General features: G+C 43.3%; 1 protein-coding gene across 13 annotated transcripts in view; it reads left to right on the top strand.

The window, feature by feature from the left end:
* The window catches only part of ZFAT (zinc finger and AT-hook domain containing), a 354552-nt gene that overhangs the window by 162239 nt on the left and 168445 nt on the right, over positions 1-23868 (top strand). For all 13 annotated transcript variants that reach the window (NR_110323.2, XR_007060750.1, XM_047422062.1 and 10 more), the window contains one exon: positions 12364-12540. Coding sequence is in view for 10 of the 13 variants with exons in the window: in XM_047422062.1 (XP_047278018.1) it covers positions 12364-12540 (177 nt within the window). In the remaining 3 variants the exon portion in view is untranslated. Of the gene's footprint in view, positions 1-12363; positions 12541-23868 lie in introns of those variants that run through there.

Below are 23868 nucleotides of genomic sequence, written 5' to 3'. Positions count from 1 at the left end.
TTTATGAATCTGGGTACTCCTGTATTGGGTGCATATATATTTAGGATAGTTAGCTCTTCTTGTTGAATTGGTCCCTTTACCATTATGTACTGGCCTTCTTTGTCTCTTTTGATCTTTGTTGGTTTAAAGTCTGTTTTATCAGAGACTAGGATTGCAACCTCTGCCTTTTTTGTTGTCCATTTGCTTGGTAGATCTTTCTCCATCCCTTTATTTTGAGCCTATGTGTGTCTCTGCACGTGAGATGGGTCTCCTGAATACAGCACACTGATGGGTCTTGACTCTTTATCCAGTTTGCCAGTTTGTGTCTTTTAATTGGAGCATTTAGCCCATTTATATTTAAGGTTAATATTGTTATGTGTGAATTTGATCCTGTCATAATGATGTTAGCTGGTTATTTTGCTCGTTAGTTGATGCAGTTTCTTCCTAGCAGCGATGGTCTTTACAATTTGTCATGTTTTTGCAGTGGCTGGTACCGGTTGTTCCTTTCTATGTTTAGTGCTTCCTTCAGGAGGTCTTGTAGGGCAGGCCTAGTGGTGACAAAATCTCTCAGCATTTGCTTGTCTGTAAAGGATTTTATTTCTCCTTCACTTATGAAGCTTAGTTTGGCAGGATTTGAAATTCTGGGTTGAAATTTCTTTTCTTCAAGAATGTTGAATATTGGCTTCCACTCTCTTCTGGCTTGTGGAGTTTCCGCCGAGAGATCCGTTGTTAGTCAGATGGGCTTCCCTTTGTGGGTAACCCGACTTTTCTGTCTGGGTGCCCTTAACATTTTTTCCTTCATTTCAACTTTGGTGAATCTGACAATTGTTTGTCTTGGAGCTGCTCTTCTTGAGGAGTATCTTTGTGGCATTCTCTGTATTTCCTGAATTTGAATGTTGGCCTACCTTGTTAGGCTGGGGAAGTTCTCCTGGATAATATCCTGCAGAGTGTTTTCCACCTTGGTTCCATTCTCCCCGTCACTTTCAGGTACAGCGATCAGACGTAGATTTGGTCTTTTCACATAGTCCCATATTTCTTGGAGGCTTTGTTCATTTCTTTTTCCTCTTTTTTCTCTAAATTTCTCTTCTCACTTCATTTCATTCATTTGATCTTCAATCACTGATACTCTTTCTTCCAGTTGATCGAATCGGCTACTGAAACTTGTGCATTTGTCATGTAGTTCTCCTGCCATGGTTTTCACCTCCATCAGGTATTTAAGGACTTCTCTACACTCATTATTCTAGTTAGGCATTCGTCTAATCTTTTTTCAAGGTTTTTAGCTTCTTTGTGATGGGTTTGAACTTCCTCCTTTAGCTTGGAGAAGTTCAATCGTCTGAAGCCTCCTTCTCTCAACTCGTCAAAGTCATTCTCCGTCCAGCTTTGTTCCCTTGCTAGTGAGGAGCTGTGTTCCTTTGAAGGGGGAGAAGTGCTCTGATTTTTAGAATTTTCAGCTTTTCTGCTCTGTTTTTTCCCCATCTTTGTGGTTTTATCTACCTTTGGTCTTTGATGATGGTGACGTACAGATGGGGTTTTGGTGTGGATGTCCTTTCTGTTTGTTAGTTTTCCTTCTAGCAGTCAGGACCCTCAGCTGCAGGTCTGTTGGAGTTTGCTGGAGGTCCACTCCAGACCCTGTTTGCCTGGGTATTAGCAGCGGAAGCTGCAGAACAGCGGATATTGGTGAATGGCAAATGTTGCTGCCTGATCATTCCTCTGGAAGTTTTGTCTCAGAGGAGTACCCAGCTATGTGAGGTGTCAGTCTGCCCCTACTTGGGGGTGCCTCCCAGTTAGGCTACTCAGGGGTCAGGGACCCACTTGAGGGTCTGTCCGTTCTCAGATCTCAAACTCCATGCTGAGAGAACCACTACTGTCTTCAAAGCTGTCAGACAGGGACATTTTTAAGTCTGCAGAGGTTTCTGCTGCTTTTGTTCGGCTATGTCCTGCCCCCAGAGGTGGAGTCTGCAGAGGCAGGCAGGCCTCCTTGAGCTGTGGTGGGCTCCACCCAGTTCGAGTTTCCTGGCTGCTATGTTTACCTACTCAAGCCTCAGCAATGGCGGGCACCCCTTCCCCAGCCTCAGTGCCGCCTTGCAGTTCGATCTCAGACTGCCGTGCTAGCAATGAGTGAGGCTCTGTGGGCATGGGACCCACGGAGCCATGCGCGGGATATAATCTCCTGGTGTGCTGTTTGCTAAGACTGTTGGAAAAGTGCAGTATTAGGGTGGGAGTGACCCGATTTTCCAGGTGCTGTCTGTCACCCCTTCCCTTGGCTAGGAAAGTGAATTCCCTGACCCCTTACTTCCCGGGTGAGGTGATGCCTCGCCCTGCTTCGGCTCACACTCAGTGGGCTGCACCTACTGTCCTGTCTCCACTATCCGACGAGCCCCAGTGACATGAACCCGGTACCTCAGTTGGAAATCCATAAATCAGTCGTCTTCTGTGTCGCTCATGCTGGGAGCTGTAGACTGGAGCTGTTCCTATTCAGCTATCTTGGAGCTGCCCCCCTCTTTTTTTTTTTATTTTACTTTTAAGTTCTTGGATACATGTGTAGAACATGAAGGTTTGTTACATATGTGCCCTGGTGGTTTGCTGCACCTATCAACCTGTCATCTATGTTTTTTTTTTTTTTTTTTTTGAGACTTAGTCTCACTCTGTCGCCCAGGCTGGAGTGCAGTGGTGCGATCCCAGCTCACTGCAACCTCCACCTCCCGGGTTCATGCCATTCTCCTGCCTCAGCCTCCCAAGTAGCTGGGACTACAGGTGCCTGCCACCACGCCCGGCTAATTTTTCTGCATTTTTAGTAGAGACAGAGTTTCACTGTGTTAGCCAGGGTGGTCTGGATCTCCTGACCTCTGATCCGCCCATCTCGGCCTCCCAAAGTGCTGGGATTACAGGTGTGAGCCACTGCACCCAGCCACCTGTCATCTATGTTTTAAACCCTGCGTGCATTACCTTTTTGTCCTAATGCTCTCCTTTCCCTTTCCTCCCAGCCCCTGACAGGCCCCAGTGTGTGATGTTCCCCTCCCTATGTCCATGAGTTCTCATTGTTCAACTCCCACTTATGAGTGAGAACGTGGTATTTGGTTTTCTGTTCCTGTGTTAGTTTGCTGAGAATGATGGTTTCCACCTTCATCCATGTCCCTTCAAAGGACATGAACTCACTCTTTTTTATGGCCGCACTTGGCGTGGATTTCTTTGGGTTTATCCTGTCGGGTTTGCTCAGCTTCTTGAATTAGTGGATTTATATCTTTTGTCAAATTTTGAAAGTTTTCAGCTATAATTTCTTTGAATACTTTCCCACTTCTACTCTCTTTTTCTTTTTTTGGGACTCATATCACAAATGTTAATCTTTTGTTACAGTCCCACAGGTCCTTGGGGGCACTGTTCTTTTCTTTTTCAATCTCTTTTTCATGTTATTTTTCTCTCCTTTTCATTCTGCTTTGAGCCCATCCTTTGAAGGTTTTGTTCTTGCTGTATTTTTCTGTTGTAAAATTTTTATTTGGGTTTTCTCTTATATCTCTGATTTCTTTGCTGAGACACAATGTTTTTTCGCTTGTTGTAGACAGGCTTATCCTTAATCATGAAGTCATTTTTGTGATGGTTACTTTAAGCCCTTGCCATCTAATTCTGACATCTGTGCCACCTAGTATTGGTGTCTGTTAATTGTCTTTTCTCATTACAGTTGATATTTTCCTGGTTCTTGGAAAATCACGAGGAATGATTTTTAATTGAATCTTGGGCATTTTCAGTATTATGTTATGAGAGTCTGGATCTCATTTAAATCTTCGGTTTTAGCAGGCTCCATCTGACACTGTTGTGGTGTGGACAAGGGGGTACTGCCTTGTTACTGCCAATGGGGGGTAGAAGTTTAGGTTCCCCACTCAGTCTCTTTGATGCCTGGAGAAAAGTGCACCTCATTACTGGTGGATGGGGGTGGGAGTTCAGGCTCCCAACTGGGCCTCTGCTGCTGATACCAGTCCTAGCTAGGAGGGGCAAGGGTGCCTTAGTACTACCCTCCATGGGGCCTCCAGTGACACTTCAGTGGACAGTGATAGCTTCATTACTGCTGGATGCTGGTGAAAGTCTTGGCTCTGTACTAGGCCTTCTCTGACACTAGCCCAGCTGGGAATGGGAAGGGGTGCTCTGTCACCTGTTAGGTAGTGTATTTTGAGTTTTTACTTGAGGCCTCTGAGACCCTCCATGTCAACAATACCAGCTCCCTCCTCTGCCGTCCTTCTGTGTCAAGCCCAGCCTGCAGGACCTCAGGGGAGGCAGAGGGGTATGGAGGGGCACAGGGCTCTGGAGACCCCAGTGGGGAAGGGTTTTTACAAGGTTTTGCTGCTGTGAAGGTGATATTCATCCCCCTTCTCCTGTCCATCTCTCTCTCTCTGTGATGCACAGCAAAAGGTCTGGAAGGATACAGACACCACACTGTGCTCAGTGATGCTGACTCTCAGAGGGAATGCTCGGGGGCTGTCTGTATTCTATAGACTGCTGTTTTGTTTACTGTTACCATGAGCATGTACTTCTATGTACGTTTTGTAATAAACAATAATGGAAATATTAAAAGCCAGTGTAAGGGCTGGGGGACCCCATAAAGCCTGAACCCTGTCTTGTTCCACTCATCCTGCCCTTGAGACTCCCACCAGGTGGGCGTACAGAGGACAGCAGCAGCAGGAGGAGGACACTCTGCCTCATGTGCGGGGTAACAGAGCATTCTGTGAGCTGGCTGGATGTGAGCTGGCTGTGAGCATCTGTGACTCCAGCTCAAGGCCCAACTGACCCTCATCACCCCTTCCCTTGAGGGCCTGAAAGTTGGGGAGGGGTCCCTCAGAGTAGGCCAACTCCATCTGATCATGTCTGCAGCCCATGGCCAGAGAAGTGGCCACCTTCTGCTGCATCCTGGAACCCTCCCTAAGTGCAAGGGACTCAGTCTCCCCCTCAGGGCCTATGAATTCATATTCCAGTTCATAGCTGCCTTCTGGAAGGAGTTGGGTCAAAACACCTTGCTTGTCCCAAGGTCCCAGAGCAGGCAGGGAGGTCAGAGGTTGCAGACAGGACCTGGCTGTTCTTGGCTGGGAATGTTTACAAATCAGAGATCAGAAATGAGGACTTATTAGTACAGTTATTTTAGGATTTTCCATTTTAATACTACAGAGTAGCTGGCTAAAGCCTGGCAAACAGTTACTAGGAATTGAATGCTCAAACCCCAAACTTTCGTGATTTTCTTTGTGCTGAATATGTCATTTTCCCTTTGAATTCTTTTGATAAGGATGAGTGCACAGTAATTGGACCTAAAAATGCATCCAAATTATAGCATCTTCATCAGGATTAGCTGACAACATAATTATGAGAATATTTCAGGGTGCAAGATATATTTTTTTCATATTAGTCCACTATAGAAAACAAAAGTGGCTCCTTTGTTGTTATTTTGGCGGATTAACAATTCTTAATATTTGGGGGATGCAGCCTGACCCGGCGCCCTCTCTGTGTGCTTTGGCATTTTGCCGTTTATACGCTGCTTTATGAACGTACCCAGTGATTGCAGCTGCCCTCCCCGTGGGAGGCCTGGGAGGCACTCATAGGTTCTGTTGAAAAGGGAGCACCATGCTCTCTGCTCTGGGCTTTTGGAACAGGCTGCTTTTAAATATGAGATTGCAATGGTAGGAGCAGCATAGAGCGCCCCTGGGGAGTCTGACTGTCAGGGCCAGCCCTGTGTCCAAGACCCCTGCTCCCTTGGGGAGTTTTGTGGTCTCGTGGGCTCTGTGTGGCTGTATGTTCTTTACTGGCGCTGACCCTGGACAGGCCATGTGGCACTGTGGAGCCCTGGGCCTGGGTCAGGGAGATCCGGGTTCTGCTTGCCCCTGCACTTCCCTGGCTGAGGGGAGGTCAGCCTCTCTGACCCTCCGTCCTGTACTGTAGAGTGGGGATCATGGGCTGGCCAGCAGAGAGGTGGGGGATTGAATGAGGGAGTGTTCATAGGGGTGGAGTGGGGGGTAGAGCCCATGCCTGATGCATTCTGGAGTCTGGGAGCCCCTTCCATGACCTCCTGTGCAGGTCTGGCTGCCTTTCAAGATCCTTTCAAGTGCCTCCTCCCGTAACTTCCCAGGCACTTCAGCCAAGGCTTTCCCCTTTCCTCTGCTCACGGTCTTCATGATTTGCAGCGTGCGACTCAGCTTCCTCATTAGTTGAACACCTATCATGTGCCAGGCTGGGGACATGGACTTGAATAAGACACCATTCTTGCCTGAGCAGCTTAGAGTGGATCCTGCTGAACCATGTTGGGTCTGCTGTGTTATCCTTTACCGTGCCTAGCAGTGTTTCCGATTTTTAAATGTTATTTAGACTCATTGTAGAAAATACAGATGTTATGATTTTTATCACTATTTTAAGACAGAGTCTTGCTCTGTCACCGAGGCTAGAGTACAGTGGCACGATCTCAGCTCACTGTATCCTCCACCTCCCAGGTTCAAGCAATTCTCCTTCCTCAGCCTCTCGAGTAGCTGGGATTGTAGGTGTATGCCCCCACCCCCGGCTAATTTTTTGTATTTTTAGTGGAGACGGGGTTTCACCATGTTGGCCAGGCTGGTTTCACACTCCTGACCTCGTGATCCACCCACCTTGCCCTCCCGAAGTGCTGGGATTACAGGCAGAAGTTATTTTTTAAAAAAGTTTCACAGTGAAAATTTTGGTATATTTTCTTTAATCCTGGCCAGCTCTCCTTCCTTCCATCTATTCATAAATAATATCTATCCATTAATAACAAAATTGTATTCATACCAAATAGCTGAGTATTCCATTCTTTAAAACTTAGTGTTCATTAGGAGCGTTTCCCTGTGCCATTCAGTGTTCTTTGAAATATGATTTTCAGTGGCTGTATCATAATTTGTTTTGTAAGTGTCAGGATTTGTCCACTGCTGAGCACTTCGGTTGCTTCTGGGAACTTGCTTGTGTGTTGAATATCTTAGTGCACAATCCCAGTTCTAGTTTTGGACGATCACGAAGGCAGGATCTCAAGGAGGAAAACCACTGGTCAGAAGTTATGAGCGAGTGTCTTTGGCGCTCTTGGCCCCTTTGCCATGGCAGTATTCGTTCATGAGAGCAGCAGACTCCACCACCCTTGTGCGTGTCTGTGCGTGCATGTCTGCGCTGCAGAGCAACTTTGTAGGGAGAAGTGGTCTTGGGCATAGGGCTGGTCCCGAAAACCAGACTCCCTGGAAACCTCTGAGCCGTCCTCTGTGGGCGGATGACCCAGAAGAGGCTGCCTTGCAGGCTAGAGAGATGTGGAGGCTCAGGACACACTGGGCTGCCTCCCCTCTGGCCTTTTTACATGCTGTCTGCACAGTCTTTCTGTACGCTTGCCTCCCTGCTGACCAGACCTCTTATTATTTTGTAATTTTAATATAGATGCTGGCCTTTTACTCAAAGGCTTGAAAGTCTTGGAAAGCTGGTAAAAGTCATTTGTCCAGTGTAGCCAGTGCTTGGCGGTGGCCATTGTCACCCAGCCGGCCAAAGGATGCTTCCTTTTATTAGAGCAAACCTTCCCCAGGCCTGATGAGGGTGCCTGCTTTCTGAATATCCCTGCCTTGATCTCAGCCACCTTGTGCGACTCTGTGGCCATGTTAGGGAAATCTCACTTTTTGAGGTTACCAGTGTCTTCCTCATGGCTGGATCCAGTGCCTGCCCTCCCCATTCTTGCTGCATTTTTCAGGAGCAACCCCTCTTCTCTTCCACCTTCTCCCTAAGGGCCTTCTCTGTCACTAAGGACTGGGTCTTCTGTTTCTTGCTTGCTATGAGCTGAATGTTTGTTTCCTCCTAAAATTCATAGATCAAAACCTACCCCCTAATGTGATGGCCTAGCAGGTGGGACCTTTGGGAGGTGGTCAGGTCGTGAGGGTGGGGCCTTCATGAATGGAATTATTGCTGTTATAAAAGAAACCCCAAAGAGCTACCTTGCCCCTTCCACCATGTGAGGACACAGCAAGAAGGCACCAGCTATGAACCAGGAAGCAGCCCTCACCAAGCATTGATTCTGCCAATGCCTCTATCTCAGACTTCCCAGCCTCCAGAACTGTCAGAAATAAAGTTCTGTTAATAAGCCACCCAGTTGTGGCATTTTGTGATAGCTACTCAGATGGACTGGGACAGGGCCTTTGGAAGGATTTGGCTTCTTGACACTTTCCATCTTTAGGCTTGATGTTCCTCCTTGCGTGCTGACCCCATTTCTCTGCCCTACTGTAGCTGAACCCCACCCCGTCTTGCGCTGCCTGCTCCTAGTAGGCATCTGCATCCTGATGTCCTGCCCACAACCACCTGATCCTGCCCATCAGACCTGTCCTTGCTCCCTTGGGGGCACATCTGCCTCCCCTGTCTCTGTTGTTGGCCATGTCTAGTCAGTGATGGTGTCATGCCTGCTTGGCCTGACTCCTCTGCAGATCTGTGTCTCAGGCCATCATCTCTGCTCTCATCCCTGGACAGGCTCTTTGGTGTCAGTCCCACCCGTCTTGGGCCAATGTACTCCTTCCTTCTCCCTCCCTCATTCCGCCATGGCCACTTGCTGTCCTCCAGGTGCACTGAGGTGTCCAAGGCTAGCCAGATGCTGTTTCCAATGACCTCACATTCTAGGGGGAGCCATGTGATGGGGCCATTGCAGAATCCAGGGTGTGGACACGCAGGGGAGCTGGCACAGCTCAGGCACGTGGGGCCTCTCCTTCAGGGCCAGCCCCTTCAGACAGTTTCTCCTTGCCTTTGCTCTGCTGGTGGACTGCTGGCTCTCTCAGGAGCTGCCAGTGCCTGCCCAGTGACTGTGCTGGGGATCTCTGTCCCTGTGGGCGCAGGTCCCTGTGTTGTCAGCAGATCCACTCATTTCCCTCCCTCCTGCCTCCACGACACTCTGTGTGTTTCCTCCCTGAGCCTGCATGTCTCCTGCCCACGCGCCCTTCCTGGAGTTTCACTGCCCTGCAGCACTGAGCTCTGGTTGTCTCTCGGCTGAGAAGCCTCTCCTGTCCATGGCAGCCTGTCCAGATCGGTATCCACCCCACTCTCATGGCCCACGTCACGTGGCGGAGCCTTCTGTGATGTGAGAATCGTTCCAGGTTCCTGTGTTTGTCTCTGCCTCCACCTCGGGAGCTCCAGGTCCAGTTTCCCTGCCTGAGAGAGCTGAGTACACAGACACATGTGTTAATGCAAATTCATAACAGATGGCCAAGGCCAGGTGCCACCCAGGGTCCTCAGGCCTTCAGGTGGTGTGGAATAGCTGAGCAGTAGTTTATTTCCAGTAGTCTCCAACACTTTGTCATATACAAATGCAAAATAGTTTTATTTATGTAATCTCTGGGCAGTGCTTTGTGTACCTTTGAACTAGGAGACCCATTGTAATAGCCCTGTGGTCCCCAGAAGTTCAGCTCTGTTACATGTCACAGAATTCCCATTTTCCTGAGAGCATCCTAGGAACCAAGAATACTTACAGGTATTGGGAAATAATTTCAGTAAAAACATTACATGAGATTGTTCTGTGACATGTCTATAAAATAATTTCAGTAAAAACCATTACATGGGATTGTTCTGTGACATGTCTATCTGTTCAGTGATGTGGTGGCCTCCTCTTGTGGCAGGGCCTGGACCTCATGCCTGATTCATCTCTGTCTCCAGTGTCTGGGGTGGGGCCCACCTGTGGTTACTGCTCAATGGACACTGAAATGAACACAGTTGAAGTTGATATGTGCTTTGGGGATTACGCTCTTTGCTGTAATGAGTTTTATTTCAGATGCTGCTGGGTGTAGAGTCTTAAGTATTTTAGCTATAACTTGGAGGAACTCAGCTCATGGGCTGTAGCCAAACATAACTCCTGTCAAATGCAGGTAGGAGAGAATCTGGTCCCTGCCTCTTGCCCATAATGACTTGAGCAAGTTGCTTTTCCTCTCTCGGCCTCAGTTTCCTACCTTTGGACTGGGGATTACAAACCCTTTCTGCCTAAATCATTGGATTATTGTAGGATTAGCAAGAAGCACATTGGAAACAACTTGGCCTCCTATAAAGAAAAATGTATTACTCTAATCTCTTCTTGTTCGGGAAGCATTTTGGGTTCCTTAGGAATAGAACGTTTCCTGGAAAAAAATAATATCGATTGGCAGTATCTGTGAGAGATTTTCATTGGCGAAGCAATGTTCTGCTTTGTTAAATTTTGATTTCATGTGTTGTTGGTAGGAAAGAATTCTCTCAGGTCGTTACCTCCCTGCTAATTCACGGAGAAAGTCTTTCTGTGAACCCAGGGAGGGGCTTGCTCCTGGGACTCCAGTGCCTTCCAAGAGCTCCACCTTCATGCCAGCAAGGCTGGGTTGGCCTATTGCCTTTCCTCATTTCCTCTTTCTGGTAGGAGAGTTTTACTGTAAAGAGGAGAGAAATGGGTTGGGGGAGTGGGGATCAGGAGTTGTTTTCATTTTAAGATGGGAGAATAAGAGTATGCTTATAGGCCAATGGAAAGATCTAGTACAGAGGGAAGAATTGATGACCTGGAGAACAATCATCAGAGAGGGTGAGTTCTGCACGCACAAGCCATCATGCACCCTTTGTCTAGTAGCCTTCTCACACAGGGATGTGGGAGCATCTTCCTGGGTGCAGGCAATCAGGCATGCGCTATCTTTAGAGAATTTGAAAGTAATGATCACACAAGTGAAGTGTTGGTCTGCTTTTAGTATCTCCATGAACCAGCAATTCCAGACAATATCAGAGATATGATAGCCCTGCTCTGGGGTGGGCCACTGCTCTCACCCGCACACCTTGTGTCCCCCTCACTATGCCCACCTTCAAACCAGCAGGAGCGAGGTGGGGAGACAGCTGAAGACGCAGGCGGGCTGGAAGGGGTGGCAGAGGCAGTTGTTTTCTGGCTGCTTGCAGTGAGATATGAAGCAAGGTCAGCTGTTGAGAGTGAGGAGCGAGGAGGATGAGATACTTGCTCACCATCACCAGAGAGCGCAGAGCTTGTATGATTGCCATGTATTTGTCCAGCATCACCAGGCAGTAAATGGCGTAGAAGTTGCATGTGACTTCCAGGCAGCGTTGAGCCTCCCCAGGAGGCTGGTGAGGGGGATGCCGAAGGGAGCCAGGTGTGGATTGCCAGCCGTCCAGCTGCTGGGCGAGGGCACACCATGGGTGCAGAGTTGCGCCGAGTCAGTGTTGTGCTTTCTGAGTGTCTGCTGGGTTCTTGCTGCTGAATAGGCAAGTTCCATCCCCAAAGTTCCTATGGATTCCAGCAACTGACAGATGACTGCTTCTCTGAGGTCCTCAGCTTTCCAGCATTTAGGGACGAGTTGGGAATTTAACCTGGGCCTTTTGGCTCCAAAGCCATTGTCCTTTTCAGTGGACAAAGCCACTTCCTTTCAGTCTGAATGTAAAAATAATAATACAAAGATCTGGCTTTTAATTGTTATTGAATCCTGAATTTAATATTTTGTATATACCTATAATTATTTTATCAGTCTAAAAAGTGAGTGTTTTATTTCCCTTATTATGTCTTCCTGCCTAGTATAATGAGATGAACATAATGAACTATTGGTAAATTTTTTGAACAATGAGAGTGCTTTAAATAGGAATTCAGTGGCTTTAAAAAGGCAACAAATTCCTGCCGTTTCATTGAAAGGTGCTGGGCTGTTGAGAAATGCTATTGTGGTCAACTTTTCCTTGTGCGTAATTTGAGAGAATCTAGCAAGACTGCTTAATTGCCATCAGTGTGCAGTTCAGTCATTTGAGGGGTAGGATTTAGTTTTTTAAGTTGCAAATTTTTTTTTTTTTGGAGACAGAATCTCGCTCTGTCGCCCAGGCTGGAGTGCAGTGGCGTGATCTCGGCTCACTGCAAGCTTCACCTCCCGGGTTCACGCCATCCTCCTGCCTCAGCCTCCCGAGTAGCTGGGCCTACAGGTGCACGCTGCCATGCCTGGCTAATTTTTTGTATTTTTAGTAGAGACGAGATTTCACCATGTTAGCCAGGATGGTCTCGATCTCCTGACCTTGTGCTCCGCCCGCCTCGGCCTCCCAAAGTGCTGGGATTACAGGCGTGCGCCACCGCGCCCGGCCGCATATTTATTTTTTACTTGGCTGTACTTATCCCAGAATCTGGGCTGATGAGTAGATTTGGGTAACAAGAAGGTTTGTATTAGACACTATCCAGAAGGACTGAGGGTTGAGATACTGAATAAAGAACTTTCTGGCCCCTGGATCTCCCTGAAGATGAAAGTGAGTGGCCTGCCATGGAGGTGACTGCCAGAGAGACACAATCTGGTAGAGGCTGGTGATGGCTCAGAAGGGCAGCTTTCGGTATTGTCTTTGGCAATTGGAAGTAATAATTGTTTATGTGGAGATGAAATAACATATTTTCCTTTTTTTTCCTTACAGAAAACACGGCCATCTTTATGTGTAAATGTTGTAACCTCTTCTCACCAAATCAGTCGGAACTCCTCTCCCACGTTTCAGAGAAGCACATGGAAGAAGGGGTTAATGTTGATGAGATTATTATTCCCCTTAGGCCTCTGAGTACACCTGAACCCCCCAACTCAAGCAAAACCGGAGATGGTAAGGGGGCTGGGGGGTGGGGCAGGATACCTTCTGACACACCTGTTGATGTTGATTTGCTCCGTGGGCATAGCAGAAGCCTAGAAAATCCACATTTCCAAATCAGAAGTCACAATAAGTCTCCAATTGTAGATATGCTCAAATAAGATTGTGCCTTTGAAATCCCATACCTAGCCCCCTGTAGGTTGGCAAATGAATGAATGAAAGAATGAATGGAAGTGGCAGTATTCAATAGTGTGAAAAACATGAGCTTGTTGTCAGACAAGTGTGGGTTTAACCCAGCCCTAGTACCTACTGGCTGCATTACCTGAAGCCAATGATGTTACTTCTCCAAGCCTCACTTTGCTTATCTGGACAAATGATGAGAAATATGCTGGTTACAAGGGGGTCTGTGAGGATGAAGTTAAAGAATATGCCTACAGGACCTAAGATGATGCCTGGCACACAGAACATGATAAAAGGAAGCTGTTGTTCTAACGTACATGATTAATAAATAAGTCTATATAATCTTACAGCATTTTCCAACTGTTCCTATAAACCTGGAACAAGGATTCACATTGCAAAGCTTTGATTTGCACAGAATCCTTTGGGTTCACAGTCAGCGTGCAAAGTGAGATGCATCTTGTCTGTAGTGTCTGGACATCTGTCACTGTGTGGTTATCCGATGCAGCAGGTGCACGGATCAGAGAAACCATCCAGGCACTGTAATTAGGTCCCCACAGACAGAGAAAACATATAGCACATGAGGAACCGCTGCAAAGATCCTCACAAAACACTAAGATAAAGGACAGCAGCTGGGCACCTGTGCAGAAGCCCAATGCATAGCAGTCAGTGTCCCATTGCAGAGTTCATCAGCCACACTAATAATCCACTGGCTCTTTCCTGGGAATATTCAGGCTGGCATTTCTAAATAGGCTGGCTATTCATCATCTGTCGGACACCATTAACAAGGAGAGATTCCAGACAAAAAATGTTTTGGTTAATAAGTCCCTCTGGTCATTCCCAGGGTTCTCAGAGAAACATGCCTGACAGAAGATTAAGTTTTTGGGAAGTTAGGAAGTTCTGAGAGTTACTGTTAGTGGCATAAAGTGAAAAATGAAAAAGATGCAGCACCCGAAGCTAGTGGTGGGTGAATAAGGAGCAGCAGTTAGTATTTCTTACTTCTGTCATCACCGTCAGCTAATAGGGTGTGTGTCCATGGCGTGCTCAGCCCCTCACAGGCCTTGTGAGCAGACCTGTCCTCTCCCCATTTAGAGGAAGCAGGAGTGAGGAGGAAAGTTATGTGTAATTGCGTCTCAACCAGTAGCGCACACTTGAGACCCTTTGCTTTGGGGTAGAGGAGGAAAGTTTGCATGGGACAGTGAGAGTCAGAACCTCCTTGGTGCCAGGGGCCTTGCAGTTCAGCGCCCTCCCTCTGCCCACCCAGCCTGTGTGAGTCCTGACCCCTGGCCAGAAGCTTTGTGACACCCACACTCTCCATGGCCCACTTCCCTGCTGAGCAGTCAGTGACTTGCTTTCTGAAGAGTATAGCTTCACAGAGAGGGCTTTAGTCAAGAACTGTGTTTAGTCACCTCCGCCTTTTGGGCTCAAGCATTCCTCTCACCTCAGCCACCTGAGCAGCTGTGACTACAGGTGCCCGCCACCACACCCAGCTAAGTTTTGTATTTTTTGTAGAGACAGGGTTTCATCTGGGTACCTGCCTCTGGGGTTGAATGTATATGGACTCAGAAAAATGGATAATGTCTCTTGTCCAATTCATATGGCAGATCGAAGCCATGTGGATCAAGGTGGAAAGAACTTCTAGACTGGCTCTTGCAAAGCTTTTAGTTCTTTGCTTATTAAGATTCTCTTCTTTCTAAATGAGTTGTAGATAAGAGAGAAATTTTAATTTTTATTTTTTTCATTTTCTTTTTGAGACTGAGTCTCACTCTGTTGCCCAGGCTCGAATGCAGTGGCGTGATCTTGGCTCACTGCCACCTCCACCTTTTGGGCTCAAGCGTTCCTCTCACCTCAGCCACCTGAGTAGCTGTGACTACAGGCACCCGCCACCACACCCACCTAATTTTTGTATTTTTTGTATAGACAGGGTTTCACTATGTTGCTCAGGCTGGTCTCAAACTCCTAGACTCAAGCAATCCACCCACCTAGGCCTCCCAGAATGCTGGGATTACAGGTGTGAGCCACCGTACCCCGCCTTTCATTTCTTTTATAAATAGGAAATGAATAAATGCTAAAAAAGCAGAATTCACATAGAATTATGAGTGTCAGTGTTGTAAGGTGCATTTTCCGACTTCCACCCTTCCACGCCTAACCAGCATTAGTGAGAGACAGTGCCATTCATGTAGGAGCTGGCCCTGAGCTCCTGCCCCTTCCCGGAGATTCACCTCCCTCTCAACCGTCCCCCATGCCCCTCTCCTCCCTCTCATCACTGATCTACAGCCACGGTTCCCCGACTGCTGGCGGAGGAGCAACTGAATGCAAAGGCCACCCCTGCCTGGGAAGCCCCTTGCAGGTGTTCTTGCTGGTTCACTCCTGTATGTGGCTGGGACTCACTCAGCTTGGGGTCACCCTGAGGAACACTTTTTGGTCCCAAGTGGGGCTGCAGGACCTTTCTCTGGGCTCCCAGAACCCCACAACTAGACTTGTTTCAGTTCTGTCTCACCTGGGTGTGCTTTCATTTGTCTCTATGTTTCTCTTGCTTGTCAGGAAATGTCCCAAAGAAGGGATTTGGGCTGTTCAGCTCTTAGCCTCAGGTCCTGGCATGGGGCCTGACACAGGGTACAGCCCCTTCCGTGTGTGTCCAGTGAATGAATTACATTTTGTTGTCCTTGCTTTCTTGCCTTGGGCCTTGCTGCCCTCCCTCCGTCCCAGCTGTCACCCTTTGCTCAAGAAACTTCAGTGGCTTTTGCCACCCAAAGCAGGGCTCCTCAAACTCATCTGACCTGGGGATCCTTCTGACGAGTATAAGACCCCTGACTTCTGTGGAGTGCCCTTGGCAGCATGGATTCACTGGTGGGGCCCTTCTCTTGGTACTGTAGGCTCCTTCTATAGCCGAACAGCTGGAGGTCCTCTAGGCCCCTGGCTCCTTTTTCCCTCCGTGGTGTTGCAGGTGAACCCACACTTGTAAAACTTCCCTTATCTCCTCCAGACTGACTTTGGTGCTTCTACTGGGCGAATATACTATGTGGGTAAACCCATCAAAGCAATTACACTTTTACTTTGTACTTTTTTTTCCAATTATAAGAGTAATTTTTTTTTTTGACTTTGACAAGTTTGCTCTTGTCACCTAGCTAGCTGGAGTGCAATGGCGTGATCTTGGCTCACTGCAACGTCCGTCTCCCGGGTTCAAGTGATTCTCCTGCCTCAGCCTCCCAAGTAGCTGGGATTACAGGTGTCCATCACCACACCCAGCTAATTTTTGTATTTTTAGTAGAGATGGATTTGCCATGTTGGCCAGGCTGGTCTTGAACTTCTGACTTCAGGTGATCCACTTGCCTCAGCCTCCCAAAGTACTGAGATTACAGGCATGAGCCCCCGTGCCTGGCCCTGAAATCTTGCTGTAAAAGAAAATTAAAGCAATATAATATGGGGAAAGCACGTTTTTCTAACTGCTCTCCAAGTTCTAGAAATAATGGTGCTAACAAGTGTTCTTCCAGACTTTTTGTCTGCATATGTAAACATAAATACACTGTTAGTTGCTTTGTTATTTAATAAGAAACAAAAATGGGATCATAATATGTGTTCTGCAGCCTTAAAAAAATGTCAGCAGTATGTACTGGATATTTCTTCATTTCAGTACCGACATGTCTCCTAATTTCTTTTTTTAGTTTTATTGAGGTATAATTGACAAAAATTGTATGTATTTACGGTGTATATGTGATATTTTGATATACATATACATTGTGAAGTCACAGCCAAGCTAACTCATTTATCTATCACCCCATGTAGTTAACTTTTATGTGTGTGTGTGTATTGTGAGAAGATCTGTTCTTTTTCGGCTGTGTGTGATGGCTTATGCCTGTAATCCTAGCATTTTGAGAAGTTGAGGGAGGAGGATCACTTGAGCCCAGGAGTTTGAGACCAGCCTGTGCAACATAATGGGACTCTGTCTCTAAAAAAAAAAAAAAAAAAAAAAAAAAAACAGATAAAACGGCTTGTGCCTGTAGTCCCAGGTACTCAGGAGGCTGAGCCAGGATGTTGAGGCTACAGTGAGCTGTGATTGCACCACTGCACTCCAGCCTGGGTGATAGAGTGAGACCCTGTTTTTTGTTTTTTTTTTTTTTTTTTTTTAAAAAAGACATTTGGGTTGGTTCCAAGTCTTTGCTATTTGTAGCAAACCTGCACGTTGTGCACATGTACCCTAAAACTTAAAGTATTATAATAATAATAATAATGAAAAAAAAAACCCCACCAAAAACCCGACCTTCTCTTTTAGCAAATGTTAAGTACACAATACTGTATTATTTGTATGTCCTAATTTTTTTTAGTGTCTGTATGGTATTTACTTCTATGGATAATGCATAATTTACTCAACCTTTTTTTGATGACATATGTTTTCTCTCTAATTTTGTGCTATTATAAATAATGTTACAATAAATGTTGTCATGAATATCATTGTACATTGTGCATTCACGTTGGCTATATTCCTAGGAGAATTGCTGTGTAGAGGGTATGCTTATTGAAAAGTTTGCTAGGTTTTATCAGAATGCTCTCTGGAAAGGTTTTATCCATTTATATTCTCACTAGGATCTAAGATCTTCTGTTTTTCCATATCCACATCAACCCAAGGATATTATCTTATTTTAAAGAGTTTTTGCCAATTTGATAGACAAAAAATGGTGTATCATTTTAATTTGCATTTTGCTGGTCACTAGTGAGGTTGACCATGTTTACTGTTTAATGGCTATTTACACATCTGTGAATTACTGTTCATATCAGTTGTCTATGTTTTTGTTTGCTCTTTATTGATTTGTAGGAGCTCTTTGTATAGAAAATATTAACACTTGTCTTTAGAGAATCTGTGTGTACTCATTTTAAACCTCACAATGCATGATAATGATTATTTTATACAGTAAGTGTTCATTTAGATTTAGCTACATATTTATGACTTTCCGGCTCTTCAGTCCTTGGATCTGCATCCATTCCATCTCCATCCATGGATGAGTTTTTTTCTGCTATAGAATACACTTTAGATTTCTTTGTAAAGAAATCTGAATGGAGCTGCTCATCATGAACTCTCCTGGTTATTGTTTATCTGATGTGGTCCTAATTATTGCCTTTATTATTATTATTTTGAGACAGAGTCTCGCTCATTTGCCCAGGCTGGAGTGCAGTGGCACGATCTGGGCTCACTGCTACCTCCACCTCCTGGGTTCAAGCCATTTCTGGCTAATTTTTATATTTTTACTAGGGATGGGGTTTTGCCATTTTGGCCAGGCTGGTCTTGAACTCCTGACATCACGTGATCTGCCTGCCTCAGGCTCCCGAAGTGCTGGGATTAGAGGCGTGAGCCACCATGCCCAGCCTATTGTCTTTATTTTTAATATATATTTTTCTTGGGGATAGGATTGTAGGTTGGCTTTTTTTTTTCATTTCAGCACATTGAAAATATTATTTCATTGAATCCTGGCTTTTATTGTTGTTAGGATGCCAGCTGTCAATCTGACTTTAAGTGCTTTAATTCCCTAGTCTCTTTGTTTTTGGTTTTCTAAAGTTTTACTGTGATGCATCCAGGTAGGATTAAGTACATTTTTACATCGATGTTAGTTGGTCTTCTTAAACCTATAGATTTATGATTTTTATAAATTTTAGAAGAATATAAACTGTTCTGCCTTTTGGTATTGCCTCTGCTTCATTATCTTTCTGTGACTTAAATATTTGCTAGTCCTTCTCTATACCTTTACCCTAACTTTTATGTTTTCTTTGCTTTTATCTTGTGCTGCATTCTGCGTATTTACTTCTGATCCATTTTCCAGTTCACTATTTTTTACCTGTTATTTTTAGATAAAATTCATATGAGATAAAATTAGCCATTTTAAGAATTTTAAAATACAAAATTCAATGGTGTTAGTGTGTTTACAAGATTGTACAACTTCTACAACTACCTAATTCCAGAACATTTTCATTACTCCAAAAATAGCTCTGTACCCATTAAGCAGTCATTCAAGATTCATCCATATTGTAGCATGTATCAGTGCTTCATTCCTTTTTTATGGCTGAGTGATATTTCATTGTATGCATATGCTACATATTGTGTATCCATTCCTCTTTTGATAGACATTTGAGTTGTTTTCACTTTTAGGCTACTGAATAATGCTTCTATCAGCATTTGTTTACAAGTTTTCACATGAATATTTGTTTTCATTTCTCTTGGATATATACCAAGGAGTGGGATTGCTGGGTCATATGTCAATTCTATATTTAAGTTTTTCAAGGACTGTCAAACTTTTTTCAATGGGAGGTGCACCATTTAAAAACATTTCAGTCAACAGCATATAAAGGATCCAATTTCTCCACATCGTTGCCAACACTTGTTAATTTTCACATTTTGGTTTGTACCCATCCCAGTGAATGTGAACTGGTATTTCATTGTGGTTTTGGTTTGCATTTTTGATGATTAATGATGTTAAGCATTTAAGTCTTTGATCCATTTTAAGTTAATTTTTGCATATGATGTGAGGTAGGGTTCCAAATTTGTTCTTTTACATGTGGTTATTCAGTTGTCCCAACATCATTTGTTGACAAGACTGTTCTTTTCCCATTGAGAGGTTTTGGCACCCTTGTCAAAAATCAATTGAGTACAAATGTATGAGTTTAATTCTGGACTCTTAATTCTATTTCATTGATCAATACGTCTCTTCTAATGTCAGTAGTATGCTGTTTAGATGGCTGTAACTGTAGTAAGTTTTGAAATGGGGAAGTTTGAATCTTCCAACTTTGTTCTTCTTTATCAAGATTGTTTTGACTTTTCAGGGTCCTTTGCAGTTCCATATGAATTTTAGGATCAGCTTGTCTATTTCTTCAAAAAAGACAGTTGGATTTTTGATAAAGATTGCATTAGATCTGTATTAGTCCATTCTCAAACTGCTGTGAAGAAATACCTGAGACTGGGTAATTTATAAAGAAAAGAGGTTTAGGCCGGGCGCAGTGGCTCACGACTGTAATCCCAGCACTTTGGGAAGCTGAGGTGGGCGGATCATGAGGTCAGGAGTTCGAGACCAGCCTGGCCATTATGGTGACACCCCGTCTCTACTAAAAATACAAAAATTAGCTGGGTGTGGTGGCACGTGGGCCTGTAGTCCCAGCTTCTCGGGAGGCTGAGGCAGCAGAAGAATCACTTGAACCCAGGAGGCAGAGGTTGCAGTGAGCCAAGATGGCACCACTACACTCCAGCCTGGGTGACAGAGCGAGACTCTGTCTCAAAAAAAAAAAAAGAAAAAAAATAAAAAAGAAAAGAGGTTTAATTGACTCATAGTTCCTCATTGCTGAGGAGGCCTCAGGAAACTTACAGTCATGGTAGAAGGCAAAGGAGAAGCAGGAACCTTCTTCACAGGGCAGCAGGACAGAGTGAGTGCAAACAAGGGGAAATGCCAGACGATTATAAACCCATCAGATCTTATGAGAACTCACTTATCACGAGAACGGCATGGGGGAAACTGCCCCAGTGATCCATTACATCCACCTGGTCCCACCCTTGACATGTTGAGATTATGGGGGTTATAATTCGAGGTGAGATTTGGGTGGGGACACAGAGCCAAGCTGTATCAAGATCCATTTAGAGACTACTGCCATCTTAACAATTTTAAACCTTCCAATCCATGAACATGGAATATCTTTCCATTTAAATTTAGGTCTTGTTTAATGTCTTTCAACAATGTGTTGTATTTTTCAATGTTCAAGTCTTACTCCTCCTTGATTACTTTAATTCCTAAGTATTCTATTCTTTTCGATGCTACTGTAAATGGAACTATTTTCATAATTTATTTTCAGATTGCTCATTGCTAGTTTATAAATACAACTGTTATTTGTATATAGATATTTTATCCTGCAATTTTGCTGGACTTGTTTATTAGATCTTGTGAACTTGTTTATTAGTTTTTTAAAAAAACTTCTAAAAACTTGTTTATTAGTTTTCTAGTGTATTCCTCAGGAGTCTTTACATATAATCTTGTCATCTGTGACTAGAGATAATTTTACTTTTTCCTTTCTAATCTGGATTCTTTGTATTTTATTTTCTTGCCCAATTTCCCTGGCAAGAAACTCCAGTACAGGGTTGAGTGGAAATGATGAGTGGACATTCTTGTTCTGATACTATCTTAGGAAGAAAGTATCCAGTCTTTTACCATTAAGTATGATGGGGTGTGTGTGTGTGTGTGTGTGTGTGTGTGTGTGTGTGAGAGATAGATGTTCTTCATTAGGTTAAGGAAGCTCTTTTTATTCTTGGTTTGTTGAGTGTTGTTTATTTTTTAAATCATAAAATGGTGTTGGATTTTGTCAGATGTTTTTTCTGAGTTTGTTGAGATGACCATGTGGTTTTTTTTCTTATTTGTTGTATTAATATGGTATATTACACTGATGTTTTTACATGCCAGGATGCATCACCCTTGTAACTTTTGGATAGATCTCATTTGGTCATGTTGCATAATCCTTTTGCTGTGCTGCTGGATTCAGTTTCCTAGTATTTTGTTAAACATATTTGCATTTATATTCATAAGAGATATTGGTCTAGAGTCTTTGATGTCTTTGGTTTTGGTTTCAGGGTAATAGTGGCCTCATAGCATGACTTGAGAAGTGTTCCCTCCTCTTCTATTTTTTGGAAAAATTTTTAAGTATTGGTGTTAATTCTTCTTTAAACATTTGGTAGAATTCACCAGTGAGACTATTTGGTCCTGGGCTTTTTATTTTTTCACTGATTCAATCTCTTGTTATAGGTGTATGCATCTTTGCTATTTTTGAATTAGGTTCAGTAGTTTGTCTTTCTAGGGAATTTTCCATTTTGTCTAGATTGTCTAATTTGTTGACATATAATTGTTCTTAATATTCTCTAATAATTATTTTGATTTTTGTAAGATTAAATGGTAATGTTCTCCCTTTCATTATTGATTTTAACAAATTAGGTCTTGCTATTTTTTCTTGGTAAGTTTAGCTGAAGGTTTGGCATTTTCTTAATCTTTGAAAAACATTGGTTTTGTTGATTTTCTCTTTTCTTTTTCTATATTTTATATAATCTCTTTCCATTCTAGGCATTATTATTTCTGTCCTTCTGCTTGTATTGGATTTAGCTTGCTTCTGTTTTTTTTTCTTAGGTTGGAAAGGGTAGGCTATTGATTTGAGATAGTTCTTTTATCTTTCAGATCCTTCTCTCTCTTTCTTTCTCCAGCTTTATTAAGGTATACTTGACAAAATTGTGTAAGTTTACAGTGATGATTTGTTATACATATATATTGTGAAATGATACCACAATCAGGTTAGTTAACACATCTATTACCTCACATAGCTACCATTATTTTTGTATGTACGTGGTGAAAACATTTAAGATATGTCTTAGCAAATTTTAAGTATATAATACAGTGTTGTTAGTTATAGTCATCATGCTTTACCTTAGATTCCCAGGATGCATTGAATCTATAGGTTGCTTTTGTTAGTATGAACATTTTAACAATATTAATTCTTCTGATCCATAAATGTGGGATATCTTTCCATTTATTTGTGTCGTCTTCAATGTCTTTCATTGATATGGTTTTTAGTATACGGATCTTTCACCTTGATTATATTTATGCCTAAGTATTTTTTTCGACGCTATTATAAATGGGATCGTTTTCTTTTTCAGTTGTTTTTGTGTAGAAACACAACAGATCTTTGTATGTTGATTTTGTATCTTGTAACATTTGTAACTTTATACATTATCCAAAAGCTATTAGAAGTATAATCTTTAGGGCTTTCTATATCTAAGATTATGTCATCTACAAACAGAGACAGTTCTACTCCTTCCATTTTACTTTGCATGCTTTGTATTTTTGCTTACCTAACTACTCTGGCTAGGACTTCCAATGCCAGGAAGCATATAAGTGGTGAGAGTAGGCACCCTTGTCCTATTCCTGATCTTAGAGGAGAGCTTTCAGCTTTTCACGTTGATTATTATGTTAGCTCTGGGTCTGTCGTTTGTTGAAGCACATTCCTTTATTATGTTGTGGTACATTCCTTGTTATCTAGTTTTTTGAGAGTTTTTATCATGAAGGGTTGTTGAATTTTGTCAAACTTTTCCCCATACTTATTGAGATGATCATGTATGATTTTTGTCCTTAATTCTATAAATGTTATATATCACATTTATTTATACACATATGTTGAACCAGCCTTGCATCTTAGAGATAACACCCTCGTTATCATGGCGTGTAATTTTTTTAATGTGCTGTTGAATTTGGTTTGTTAGTATTTTTTGAGTATTTTTGTTTATCAGGAATATTGGCCTGTAATTTTCTTTTTTTGTAGTGTCTGTCTAGCTTTGGCCTTACAAAATGAGTTGGGAGGTATTCCCTCCTCTTTAATTTTTTTGAAGAGCTTGAGTAAAACTGGAATTAATTCCTTTTTAAATGTTTGGTAGAGTTCACCAGTGAAACCACCTGGTCCTGGGCTTTTCTTTGTTGGGAGATTTTGATTACTGATTCAGTCTCCTAACTTGTTATTGATCTATTCAGATTTTCTATTTCCTTATGATCCAGTCTTGGTAGATTGTGTGATTCTAGGAATTTATCAGTTTCTTCTAGGTTATCTAGTTGGTTGGCATATAATTGTTGATAGTAGTCTTTTATGATCACTTGTCTTTCTGTGGTGCCAGTTATAATGTGTCCTTTTTTATTCAAAATTTAATTCATTTGTGGCCTCTCTTTTTTTCTCGGTTAGTCTAGCTAAGGGTTTCTCAACTGTGTTTATCTTTTCAAACAACAAGCTCTTAGTTTGTTGATCTTTTTTATTCTTTTTCTATTTTGTTTATTTCTGCTCTATTCTATTATTTCCTTCCATCTGCTCACTTTGGGCTTATTTATTCTTCTTTGTCTAATTCCTTGAGTTGTAAAATTATGTTGTTTATTTGAGATTTTTCTTTTTTTCTAATGTAGGCAATAAACTTTCTTTTTAGAACTGCCTTTGCTACATCCTATAAGTTTTGGTATGTTGTGTTTTTGTTTTGTTCATCTCAAAGTATTTCTAATTTCCCTTATGATTTCCTTTTTGGCCCAATGGCTATTTAAGAGTACCATTTAATTTTCATAAATTTTTGAATTTCCCAAATTTCTTCCTTTTTATTTCTAATTTAATTCCACATACTTG

This window comes from Homo sapiens, chromosome 8, assembly GCF_000001405.40.
Source record: "Homo sapiens chromosome 8, GRCh38.p14 Primary Assembly".
NCBI classification, from domain to species: domain Eukaryota; kingdom Metazoa; phylum Chordata; class Mammalia; order Primates; family Hominidae; genus Homo; species Homo sapiens.
The sequence above is the reverse complement of the archived record's forward strand: the minus strand, read 5'-3'. Positions and strand labels throughout refer to the sequence as shown.